A 14,169-nucleotide genomic window follows, 5' to 3' on the forward strand; every position below is an offset into this window, starting at 1 on the left:
GGACACAAATTTTGGGGAACATTATTTAACCCTGTACATATGGAGTGCAAAACTACTCACCTTTCCTTTACCAAGGAATTTCTAAGGGAGTCAAATTAATTTAAAATCTTCACCAACTTCTCAACAAGTGCACAGCTTTATTATATCCAAGATCATAAAATCTGTCATTTTTCTTGCTTATGTTGATATTGTGCTTTATATTTACAAAGTTTTTTCATATTGCTTCATTTGATACTCACAAGCACAAATACTCATTCTCACACAAGTAGGCAGGGTGACTGGTCTCTTTTTACAGATAAAGTGAGGGAGAAGGGAAGGAAGCTTACCTTTTATCAAATAACTACTCTGTGCTAGATACTGTTACTAGTGCTTCATGAGTTGTCTTATTTGATCTATATAAAAAACTCAAAGGTTACTGTAAGTAGTATTATTCCCATTCTGAAGTAGAGTATAGCATAAAATAGCACTAAATAACTTACCCAAGGTCACACACAGCTAGTAAGTAACAGATCTGGGGCTGCCGCTCAAATGCACCTGTGTTCTAAGTCCATCATGTTTCCATTCTTCCTTCTCAATTAAGCCTTCTTCCTAACAAGTCTTTAACTTTGTTCATGGTTAGAATTTGCTAAAATATGTTTGGTGGTTGAAAGTCATGACAAACTCAGTGATCTCATTAAAGGATCAACCGGAGAGATCTAGGCCACTTAACATGACACATACAGGGGACTATGCTTTTTGTAGTTATCCTTCATGTTGCAATAAAATGCAAAATTTTCCTAACTTTGAAAATAGAGGAAGAATTGTGGTGGTAAGAATCGTCAAAAATTTACCCACTTTTGGAATAGCCTCAACTAGAGTAACCCTCTAGGACTTTCATTTATTCTTCTCTGTGAGTACCAATAGGGTGAAGTCAAAAAATGACTCCACCATTCTGTGGATGGCCCAAATCATGAGAATGAAGGAAAAGAAGTTATCATAACCTTAAGAAAGAATAAGTGGGAAAAACCATTGTTCCAAATGTGGGCTTGAATATGCTGTAATGTTTCAAAGCAGCAAGTAAAGTATACTTGTTAAGGATACTCTACCCACCTATGAACCATTGGAGAAAATGAACTATTTTGATGCTGCCTTTAAAGAGTTGTATCTTCAGAGAAGCCAAAATTCACTGCTGAAAGATTCCTTCTTGAATCTGTCTCAGAAACAATCTTGGATTTAGAATGTACATGTATATACTTGTGTATGTGATTATACTTAACACCATCAGTTCTACCTTATATTATAAATATACCATGATAACAGAACTTTCTTTTCAGATTGTGTCAAAAAAGAAAAAAAAAAAGGGTCTCACTCTGTCACCCAGGCTGCAGTATAGTGATGCCATCTCTGCTCACTATGATCTGCCTCTCAGGCTCAAGCAATTCTCATGCCTCAACCTCCCAAGTAGCTGGGATTACCTGCGTGTGCCACCACACCTGGCTAATTTCTGTATTTTTAGTAGAAACAGGGTTTTGCCATGTTGGCCAGGGTGGTCTCGAACTCCTGGACTCAAGTGATCTGCCTGCCTCGGCCTCCCAAAATGCTGGGATTACAGGCATGAGCCACCTCACCCAGACTCTTTTCAGATTCTTAATGCATTCTACGTATTTACAAATAAATATTGCTAATAGCTACCATCTATTGAATACCTACTGGGTGCCAGGCAGCTAAGCACTTACTGTACATATTCCTAGTTGTCACAATAATCCTACATGGTACTTTTTACTGATCCTCATTTTACTGGTAAAGGCTCTGAGACTGAGAAGTTTAATGTCATTCAAAACCTACTAGATGGGTGAGCCAGAATTTGGACTCAAGTTCACATAATTCCAAAGCCTGCCACCACACAAGGAAAATATCCATTTATTCACTTATATAAGATTGTTGACCTCTTTAAATATGCCGGTTTCATCCTAATCCTCTAAAAAAATTAGTCATTCTCATCTTTTGAAGTCCCTCTGACCTAAGGGTGATTCACAGAGGATCAAGTAGGTAGGATCAAGAATCCTCATCTTCCGAATACATTCATCTTTTTAGCTTGATAAAGCCAGAATGTTGGGGCCTAACTACGTAGACAATTTCCTCACATTTAATTAGAAGACAGACCTAAGACTTGTCTTTGAGGCCAAATGCTACATACCAAGTTTTCACCATGAATTATGTTTCATGAGAACATGGTTGAATCCATATTAATACTGGATATCTAATAGAGATCATGTTATAAATGAAACAACCATTTATGGATAGGTAAATATTATCAAGTACATGTTTACATTTTCATATTACATAGCAAATCGTTAGGAAACCAAGTGATTAAATTTGGGGTTTTGATGGGGTACACATGGATGTAAAAATGGAAACAGAGACTGGGGGTTATAAGGGGTGCAGGCATAGGGCTGAAAAACTACCTATTGGCTGCTATGCTCACTACCTGGATAACAGATTCAATCACACTCAAAACTCAGCATCACACAATATACTCTTGTAACAAGCTTGCACATACACCCCCTGAATCTAAAAGTTGAGGCCAGGCGTAGTGGCTCAGGCCTGTAATCCCAGCACCTTGGGAGGCCAAGGCGGGTGAATCACCTGAGGTGAAGAGTTTGAGACTCACCTGGCCAACATGGTGAAACCCTGTCTACACTAAAAATACAAAAATTAGCCAGGGATGGTGGTACGACCCTGTAATCCCAGCTACTTGGGAGGCTGAGCCAGGAGAATCGCTTGAACCAGGGAAGTGGAGGTTGCAGTGATCCAAGATTGTGCCACTGTACTCCAGTCTGGGCGACACAGCAAGACTCCATCTCAAAATAAAATAAAATAAAATAAAATAAATTGAAAAAAATAAGAACCAACTGTTGAAACCTCAAAAAAAAGGGGGGTGAGGCGGTGGGGGTGAGTTTTGAAAGGTTTAACTTTGCATGCATTGGTTTACCAAAGGAAGAAAAAGGGAGTGGGAGAGACAGAAGAAAGAGAAAAAAAAACTCCATAACTAGAAAATAAATGCCTGCATTGTAGAACTTCTTAAATGTTATTTTCATAAAGTTATATAAACGTATGTCATGCAAATAAGGACAGGTCAAATTGAAATGTTTATAAAATATGCTAAATTTAAGAGTTGTAGTCAAAATGTATTATAGAATCTAACTGTGGAGTTTATTAATTTACATTTTCATGGCATAAAAATAGCAGGACTCAAGCCATGCAGTTAATGTACACAACATTCACTGAATTGTAGACACAAAGAGGCTAAACACTAGAAAGCAGCTTTTAATATTCTGTAATGTTCTTTATCAAGCTGTTTGTACAAGACTTTATGAAACACAGCACACGGCTTAACAATCTCCAGTGCATTATTATACATATCTAACTTTTGCCTTCGGATACTCCCAGCAAAGGACAACAGATTCTCAACTTTACTGTACCAAAGCAATGTGGTCAGGAAAGCAGCTTCCCCGTTCTGCAGCAGCTAAATGTCAGAGAGCCAAGGGTTCCACCAAGATTTCCCAAAGCACAGCAGTTGCCATTAGAAACTTCCTAACCCTCCAATGTTCACTTTACAGAGTGTTCAGAGGGTGATAAACAGATCTTTTACTTGATTTGCCATCTGTGAATTTTAAAGCTGTTAAGGCACTTTTCTGTCTTTATTTCCATGATGCTCCTGATCCCATTTGCTAGTTAGATGCACTCACTAATATATTATTCAGTTCTATTGAGAAAACCATACTGAGGCATCTCCGATTTGACATTACTGTCCAAATTTTTTTTTTTTTATAACATATCAAGTAAAATAAACCAGCTTGAAACCCTGGCCTTTTTTAGTGCTTCAAATAATTCTTTTCATTTCTTTGTTACTGAGAGCTCACATTAGAAAGCTATTAATACATTTGAGTACAATTTATGTTTTCAATGCAACCCAGACAAGAAATGAAAAGGCATGGAGAAGAAACATGGCCTTCCTGGACAGCCTGAATCAGTAAGTCGTTACTCTTCACCAAATGTAGCTTATGTACAAATGGCTTCATTTCCATTCCCCTTCGCTGTGGGAGCCTCAAGAACCACAGTTACAGGAGCTAGAGGATGACGCTGACAGCGGTCACACAGGCAGTACCCACTCGTTTCAATAGCCTTCGCCTTTTCCATTTGTTGGTTTGCGGAAAGACAAAACTGTGCTGATCCTGATTGTATGAGACAAGAAAATCCAGCCAATTCTATTTTACGTGGTACTCTTGCCTTAGTTTCTTTTTCAGTGAGAACAGACGCGCCACTGCTACAGCTGGCCCTGTATGTTATTTTTTTCCAGCATTAGTAATGGAGTCATTGATTCAATCTATATGAATGGAGTCCCTACTAAGTGCCAAGCATATAACAGTGAACAAAACAACCTCTGGCCTCATAGAACTTTCATTCAAGGCGGTGAGATGGGAGGAGCCACCAACATACGAAAACAAATGTAGTCACATTTACATTAATGCCTGAATTACCAAGACTCGGGCTTTCTTTGAAGCCTTCCCCAGCCAATTTGAGGGCACTATCAGATGTCCTGTAATATGCACAAAACCAACCACTCATTTTCCTCCACTTTGGCCTTCTTGCTAGTTGTCTCCTTGTGGGGCAGGTAAGAGACCTGACACACTGCCACATCTACAGGGCTACCACCAGGTCACTGACATAAGAGTCAGCATCTCCACCACTGTTCGCCACTCTCTACCGCTCTGCAGAGGCCACTGGAAGGGTCCAGGGTAAGAAACCTCACCTGGGGTCTATGGCAGGGTAGAGAGAGAAAGCTGGAGGCTCCCCCACCTGCTAATATTACAGTTGGTTACCTCGGCCCTATGGTTCTGTTTGTGCCCAAACTTTCACATGGTCTTTCACAAACACGACTTTTTCCCCTTCTGACCTTCACCTTTCTCTTCACCCAGGCTCCATGTATTCCCTTGTATTCTCATCTCTTTCCCTCATCTCTCTCCAGGCACCTATCCACAAAATAGGTTCCTCTTTTTTCACCAGAAGCAGAAATGTATATGACCATTATCTCTTACAACCACATCCCCATAGGGATGACTAACCTGATGCTCAAAGAGCCACAGTCCACCTTGGACTCCGTTAGGAAGCCCTGCCAGGTATAGATGGGAGAACTGAGCTACCAGCATCAAGGACACCAGCACCAGAACCAGTCTTTGAACTATTCAATTTTATTTCCTAATGAATGTATTTCTCCACCCAAATGCTGTGCATCCCAGGCTCTTCCTCAACCTCTACCTACAGAGAGGATGATCAGCTCTTGTGGGTGAGGTACAGTCACACCAGTCCAGCAATGTGCTTTGCGATTCCTTGCCAGGCTGGATTCCCTAACCATTCTGGTAAGCCTATCAATAAGCTTGCCCAAATGCGGTGAAGACCTCTCTCAGAACAGCCGGAGTATATTAATCCATTTAACCTGGGTTTTCCTAATCAATATGGAAATGTTTAGCCTCTGAATTCTGAAGGATTGATTCCATACTCCTGTATGGCATTCCCTGGCTATCAACTGCCCTGAGTAGGTTAGCCTCAAGATATGTGTGGGCTTTGCTAAATAAACTTTGATAAAATAAGTAACATTTTTCTGATATATATGAAAATGGTTTTCTCATCTGTGTTGGACTTTTCCACAGCTACATCTCCTGTTCTCATGAGAAGTTTTACTTCCTCAGAATTAGTGTGCCTCCGTAACACAAAACTTCAGAAAACTCCCAGGCACATGCATGTCAAATGCATGTCCAATAGGCTTCCACAGCAATCTTCTCATCTGTAATTCACCCAGGGAAGAAGCAAGCACCTCCAGTGTTCTGCAGACTCACAGTAATCCAAGCTGCTTAAATCCTTCATAAATCCTCTGTGCAAAAACACTAAAGAGATTGTCAGCAGGAAATTCAACCACTGGTTACCTCGGACATTCCTAGAAGACTTTTCCTTAATTATCAGCCAGAGCACTATGTCATTAATGCAGACAAGAGTTGACAGCAGCTGGTCTAAGGCAGTAATAGCAGAGACAGACACACAAGGCAGGTTCAGAAGCTAACCAGGAGATGAAATGGGACATGGCTTGTGTGACCACAAACATGAATGCGTGTGAGGAATGAAGGAAAAATAAGACCCAGCAATGATTCCCCAGGTTTCTGGCTTAGATATTTGAGAGGATGCAGCCACTTTTTATTAAACACAGGAGGAAGAGCAGACTTGGGGAGATATATGGTTAACTGCACACTAATTTATATTTGCAAAATGATGAAGCACATGGAGAGCAATTTTTTATTTTTATTAAATTGCTGATTATGTTCTTAAGAGAAAATATTTGTATTTACTATCTATGCATTTGAACCATCAGAACCCTTATTTTCAGGACCCTTATTCCCAAGTTTTCTATGTGTCTCGGTAATTCATCAAATAATATTAACCAGCAAGGGAGGGAAGTAATTAAGTGAAGATGAAATTTTTATTAAAACACTAATCATAAATGCTCATTTACTTATTCGACAAATGCTTACTGAATGTTGGCAATGAGCCAAGTACCAATGTGAACGACAGAAACATAGATAACAATGATACTGAACACATAAGGAGTACCAGCCACCACAATAAGCACGTCATCTGCCATTGACAATCCCCATCATAATCCTGCTAGGAAGGTGTTATTACAATGACTATTCCATAGATGATGAGAACTAAAACTAAAATCCTAAACCCCCAACTGGCTGAACAAATCCCCTCTTGGTTAAGGGGACCCCAGAGAAACCTTAGAAACTGAGTTCCTGGCCACGGTGCGATGGGAAGCCAGACCCGTCTCATTACATCCCCTCCTTTTTGTGGTTTAGACGCAACAACTGACCAGCATCAATGTTAACATAGAGATCCTAAGACTAACAAAATGGACTCTGTGGCAATAAGATACCAAATTATAAAGATTGCCTAAGGCCATGCCAGGCAAGGGTTAAGTCATGCACCCTCCACACTTAAAGAGTAAATTCTGTTCCAACTGCCACAAGTTTTTCTTTTTCTCTAGCAGTTAAACCAGCACCGGCCTCAAGATAAGCACTATTGAAACAACTGCAGCACTCTCACCACCAGATGCTGACCCCCGGCCGATTCCACAAGCCATACCCACATTTTTTGATTGGAAAAGAGACAGCTGTGGTTCAGTAACTTTCTCCTAATAAGAGACCATGGACCATGGACTGATCTGGCTGGTTTACAGAGGCTGTAAACTTGAGGGCCTTCGTGTCCCTGCCTTACGTTTTGCCATATAAGGCCTAATTGTAAGACACTTAAATGTTAAGTCTCCACCCCAAAGTGAACATGGGATGCAGGTAATACGCATGTTTGCTTATCACACGTGTACCTCTCCCACTTCATGATTATTCATAGCTCCTCCTGTAACCTATTGAATATGTATACTTGGCCAACCTCAGCATAAATCCCTGTTCCACCCCTTCCTCCCTCAAAGTGTCTGTTAATAGCCTCTGCAAGAGGCTACACTTCCCAGCCTTCAAAAATGGCCAGACCACAGGCTATAACCCTTTATAAGAAATAAAGTCTCCTTCACAGATTTAAAGATCTTGTGATTTTTCCATGATGAAACTGACATAGCAACGTGTTGAGTAACTTGGCTAATGAGTAGGAAACCAAAGTTTATACCAAACCCTGGGACTCTAGAGCCGGTCTCTGCCATGCCTCTTCCCTCAAGGAAGTCAGGATCCTCTTGGGAGGCAGACCATACATGTCATTAGAAAGCTTTTACAATGATCACCTTGCTTGTTCATCTCAACTCTCGCAGATCTGCCACTTTCTTCAGTCCTCTAACCACTTGATTCGGTACACTTGATGTGATCTAGCATTACCAGTCTCTCCTCCACCACATGCTGCCTGTAATTGTAGCAGTCACTTGTTTTCAGTCATATCATTACAGAGCAGCATTGAGTTTTCCAGTTTATAAGCAGCCCAAATTTGTTTTCCTGTTGAGCTTTTGCCTTGAATGTCTGGCTTTTCCTTGGGGATACATAGTTCCCAGTTCCATTTCCCACAGGAGCTTTACTCTGGAATGTCTAATAGTGTGTGTTTGTTTCAACATCGGGGATATAAATAGGTAAAATGAAGTTCTGCTTGGTGCTGCTGCACGGCTGCAAGAACCAAGGGCCAGCCAATCATGAGCTGAGGGACTTACTGTGTTTGTTTAAATATAGTTCAGGTTTCTCCCTTCTCTCTACCTCAACAAGATTTAGCACCTAGAACAAGACACTACACCTTTAGTTTGCACTCCGAAATTGCTAGGAAGTAAATCCATCTGGAAACTGCACTGGATAAGGAGCAGGGATACACAGCAGTGGCTGGAAAGAAATTACTCAAGTACGAAATCAGGAAGGAACCTCATTAACACCCCACCACCTTTTGTAAAGTCAATAATACACTGTCCAGTATGAAACCCAGCCAAGATCTCAGCTGTTGACTGTTCAGTGAAAGAGGAACATGAAAGTGACAGAAGGACATTCATTCCAGAAACCCTGAGAATCCAGCAGCCCCTACCTGGTCTCCAGCTCCATGACTTGCCACCGCCCTCACTGCTCCAGTCTAAATTCCACACCTTCAGAGCTAGAGTCAGAGTTTCCAGGGTGGCAGGAGTGGAGTGAACCAGGGGGATCCCAGCATCCTCCTCAAATGTAGGGACTAAGACTGGCGGGGAAAAGGGGCAGGGTCCTTTGGGGATTGTAATGCACCCAAGGGGAAATCCCAGAGATCCAGGTTCAGTCCTCTGGCCCTCCCCAGCTAGCCTGATGTAGCTCCATCTTCACTGAAGTTCCTCTGGTGATAACACATCATGTTGAAGAGGATATTTAGGGCTTCCTGAGACAAAGCTGTGCTAAACACATGAACTCTCAGCAAATACTAGCAAGTGAATTAAAAATGAATGAATATCCTATAAAACAAAGCAACAAATCAGACAACCCCTACCCCCGACCCCATGGCTCAATGAGAGCTTCTGGACCTGCAGCATCCCCACAACATATAATTCACCCACTACCCCATACTAGAGAAACCTAGGAGGCTCTCGTGTCCTGGGGAGCAAGCTGTTAAGTAGAAGTGGGAGAATTCCTAACCCTGTTAAGAGTTGGAATGTTAAACTCTAAAGATAAGCCTGAAAACCAGCTTTAAAAAATGTGAGCATTCCTAGTTAACCTAGATAGGCAGAATTCTTTTCCCTCCTATCAAGACAAACCCACAGTAGCTCAATGCCTGGATTATGAGGCCACATCACAAAGATGTTAGTTTTTTCAGTTTGGGTTGTTGCTGAAAAGAAAGTAAGAATTTAGGCATTACAATTCAGACTAGATCCATTCATTAGGTCCACACCACACCAGTAAACAGTGATACAGATTTGCATAGTGTTTTTTTAAATTAACATTTAATAATGTTTTACTTCCCAAGCCCCTTATGAGCTGGGCATTGGCTAAAAAGGTTTTGGCTCAGTACAAAGAAGAATGTTCCACGCCTGTGAAACACCAAACAATGGAGCAGTGGTGTTGTAAGGGAGTAGCCTCTGGCCCATTCAAGTCAAAACTGGATAATTATTTGTTGCAGATGCTTTAAAGAGTTCTAATAATTTAGGTGTTAGGTGAGAATAAATAATCTCTAAGATGTCTTCCAATCCTAGCATACATGATAAATTTTTTCTGTGGAAAAAGCACCCAAACAGAAAGTGACCAGTGACTTTCCCTAGTCACACAACCAGACCCTCCAGCTTCTAGCCTAACACTCTTTCCACTGGATGGTCTTCACCACCACCAGTACTCAGCCCCAAGACACCAGGGGAACACTGGCACTGTCCCTTTGGTTTCATAGAAAATAAGCACAAATAAAAGATTCAACATCTGACCGACATGCTTTCCCATATTTTATAAGAAGATCAATTTAGTACCATATAGGTACCAAGGTACTATAGGTACCACATAGGTACCAAGTTACTATAGGTACCACATAGGTACATTAGACAGACTGTTTTGTAAACTTCTGAAAGCCAATACAAAGAACATCTCAGAGTTAGTATGGTAGAACCTTCTAGAACACTTGTCATGGCCTGAATCTTCATGTCCCTCCAGAATGCATATATTGGAACTTGTATTAGGGTTCTCTGGAGGGACAGGACTAATAGGATAGATGTATATATGAAGGGAGGTTTATTAAGGAGTATTGACTCATTCAACCACAAGGCGAGGTCCTACAACAGGCCATTTGCAAGTTGAGGAGCAAGGAAGCGAGTCTGAGTCCCAAAACCTCAAAAGTAGGGAAGCTGACAGTGCAGCCTTCAGTATGTGGTCAAAAGCCTGAGAGCCCCTGGCAAACCACTAGGGTAAGTCCAAGAGTCCAAAAGCTGAAGAAGTTGGAGTCTGATGTTTGAGGGCAGGAAGCATCCAGCATGGGAGAAAGATGAAGGCGGGAACACTCAGCCAGTCTAGTCATTCCGCATTCTTCTGCCTGCTTTATTCTAGCTGTGCTGGCAGCTGATTAGATTATGCCCACACAGATGGAGGGTGGGTCTGCCTCTCCCAGTCCACTGACTCAAATGTTAATCTCCTTTGGCAACACCCTCACAGATACACCAAGGAACAATACTTTACATCCTTCAATCAAGTTGACACTCAGTATTAACCATCACAGAACTTAACCCCCAGGGTGATGTTATTAAGAGGTGAGGACTCTGGGAGGCCCCACCTTCATGGCTGGGATTACTGCCCTTTTAAATGGGTTGAGGGAACAAGTTTACCCCCGCTTTGGCTCCTTCCACCCTGTGAAGATGCAGCAACCAGACACCATCTGTGGAGCAGAGGGCAAGTCTTTACCACACACCAAATCTGTTGGCACCTTGATCCTGGACTTACCAATCTCAAAAACTGAGAAATAATTTTCTATCATTTACAAATTACTCGGTCTAAGGTGTTTTGTTATAGCAACGGGAACAGACTAACACAACCCTATACTTCAGTATTTGGGATAATTGGATTAAACTAATAATTTCACTATTACCCCATAATCAAACATAATGGCAGCATTTATTTGGCTGAGTTTCATGCTTAGAGTATGGGAATAAGAATTGTTCCATTATAAAGGTCACAACCTTACATAATGATCTCCCTTACATAATAGTCACACCCCTATTTTTGGACCGGCAGAGCCAGCATAAAAAGTGTTATCATTACACAAATACAGCACTTTAGAGGTGTTTTTAAGGACAGAAATATATTTTCAATTCTATTACTATTTTTCAAACAGCTGAGGCTAGACAGAGATTCCAAGTGCCCTGCTTCGCTGTTTTTGAGCTGTCAAAGAAAATGAATCAACTGACTACAGTCACGTATCTAAGACAGACATAGAATTTCGCAGGAAGTCTGAGGTTATTTGGGTCAAGTTCATACGGTATTTGATCTACAGCCTGATAATACAGCTTTTGTGCTATATGAGCACACTAGGACATGGTGTTATTTTTTTTTTTTTTTTTTTTTTTTTGAGACGGAGTCTCGCTCTGTCGCCCAGGCTGGAGTGCAGTGGCGGGATCTCGGCTCACTGCAAGCTCCGCCTCCCGGGTTCACGCCATTCTCCTGCCTCAGCCTCCCAAGTAGCTGGGACTACAGGCGCCCGCCACTACGTCCGGCTAATTTTTTGTATTTTTAGTAGAGACGGGGTTTCACCGTTTTAGCCGGGATGGTCTCGATCTCCTGACCTCGTGATCCGCCCGCCTCGGCCTCCCAAAGTGCTGGGATTACAGGCGTGAGCCACCGCGCCCGGCCGACATGGTGTTATTTTTTAACTGAGACATAAAAACCAAAGTAACAATCTACTTGTATTCATTGTTAAGTTTTCATATCCTTATAGCCAAAGAAAGGAAAACCACTTCCAACCAGCCTGCTTCTATTAATACACACAGTGATCTTTGACGTAAATGTCACACATGTTCACTTTAGGCTTCTGGTCAAATTTGCATGAGGCCAATTAAATTCTGAGGTCCTGAATCTCCTCTGTAAATTCAACAGATAGATTTCTCTTCTTGTACTAAGCTATTGTTTGGTATTGTTCTGAACTACTCAACAGCTGTAATTCTGCAACTCACTGGATGTTGAAGGGTATAATAATTGTACCGAGGGATATGAATGTGTGTAAACCCAAAGCCCAGTGCTGTCTCTACGGTGATACACTTATCCACATTCCTCCCACTGTCATGACACAGTCCTCTTACTTCAACTGGCTCACTTCTCCGAATGCCTGGAACTTCACTCAATTTACCTTCCCTTATACACCTTAGATGTCACCTTAGATAGTGCACCTTAAATGTGCACTATTATGGTAGCCACTAGCCATATGTGGCTTCTGAGCACTTGACATGTGGCTAGCCTAAACTACTGAGATGTGCTGTAAGTACAAAATTATATACTAGATTTTGAAGACTTAGTATGACATATGTAAAATACCTCAATAATTTTCATACCAGCCTGCTGAAATATTTTGCATATATCAGGTTAAATAAAAACATACATATTATACACTAGAAAATTTTAAATTATGTGTGTAGCTCACATTATTGGATAATATTGAGTTGGCTAATTTTAGGCTCTCTTTCCCTGACTCCATTCTACTGAGCTCTCTTCAATTACACATAAATTGGGTCTTCTAATTTTATCCTTTATCTCTTAATCTCCTTTTCTATCCTTTTGTTTTTCCTGTGCTGCATTCTGGGTAATATCTCATATTTATCTTCCAAATCACTGATTCTTTCTTCACTAGGTCTAATCTGTTGTTAATCCATCCATCCATTACATTAGGTTTTATGTTTACTTTGTTTTGATGTTTTGAATATGGTTTTGTTTACTGAACTTCCAGACAAGATTTCATCTGGTTTAGAAAAATATTGGAAACCATTAGGCAATTTCTACTAATGCTGAATACATGCATACTCTGTCACCAGCAATTCTACTCCTAGGAATAAACCCAACAGGAAAAAACGATAGCCCAAAACTGAAAATTACCCAAATGCCCAACAGCTGTAGAATGTGGCATATTCACACAATAGAATACTAAATTAAATAAGAAAAGTATAACTATATGGAAAAATATGAAGTTCTTTTATCCTTTTTCATATGTTGAGAGACAAAGGTCATATACAAAAGATTATATAGTATATAAATCCATGAATAAAATCTTTTTAATAGGCAAAATTAAAATGGTATAAGAATTCAGGATACTTGCATAATAGTCACACCCCTATTTTTGGATACTGGTTGACCTTGGAGTAATACTAGTTGACCTTGGAGTAAAAGATTACATGAAGGGAACAGAAAGGGGGTTTATGAGATGCTGGTAATGTTCTGTTCCTTGATCTGAATACTGGTTACATAGTACATTAATTTATGGAAATTCATCATGGTATATCCTTATGATTTTTAAACTTTGTATATAATTTAACAGTATAACAAACTCAAACTCTAATCAGTGATTTTCAGAAAAATATTTGGATGTTGTATTAGTCTGTTTTCACACTGCTATAAAGAACGACCTGAGAGAGGGTAATTTATAAAGAAAAGAGGTTTAATTGACTCACAGTTCCAAGTGGCTGGGGAGGCCTGAGGAAACTTACAATCATGGCAGAAGGCGAAAGAGAAGCAAGTCACGTCTTACATGGCGGCAGGAGAAGGAGCGTGTTGAAGGAAGTGCCGCACTTTTAAACATCAGATCTCATGAGATCTCACTATCACAGAACAGCATGGGGAAAATCTGCCCCCATGATCCAATTACCTCCTACCAGGTCCCTCCCCTGACAGGTGGGGAATTACAATTCGAGATGAGATTTGGGCAGGGACACAGAGTCAAACCATATCAGATGTTAAAACCTTTTTTTTCCTTTTTGAGTTGTCAGTTTTGAATATAATTATTTCAAAAATTTCATTTTGTTTCCTTTTCAAATTCTGCCTAGACATTTTTAATAGCATTTTGCTCATGTTTTCAAATCCATCTTTTATTTCTAGAAACATTTTAGGACATTTCATTTATATTCTGACTGATAATTCTTAAATTCAAGTTCTTGGGAAGTCTAATTCTACTGTTTGTTGTTTC

General features: G+C 40.5%; 1 protein-coding gene across 12 annotated transcripts in view; it reads right to left on the reverse strand.

The window, feature by feature from the left end:
- The window catches only part of GRM8 (glutamate metabotropic receptor 8), an 814,344-nt gene that overhangs the window by 762,267 nt on the left and 37,908 nt on the right, over positions 1-14,169 (reverse strand). The gene's annotated exons all lie outside the window — the stretch shown is intronic.

Source organism: Homo sapiens, chromosome 7, assembly GCF_000001405.40.
Source record: "Homo sapiens chromosome 7, GRCh38.p14 Primary Assembly".
Taxonomy (NCBI): Eukaryota; Metazoa; Chordata; class Mammalia; order Primates; family Hominidae; genus Homo; species Homo sapiens.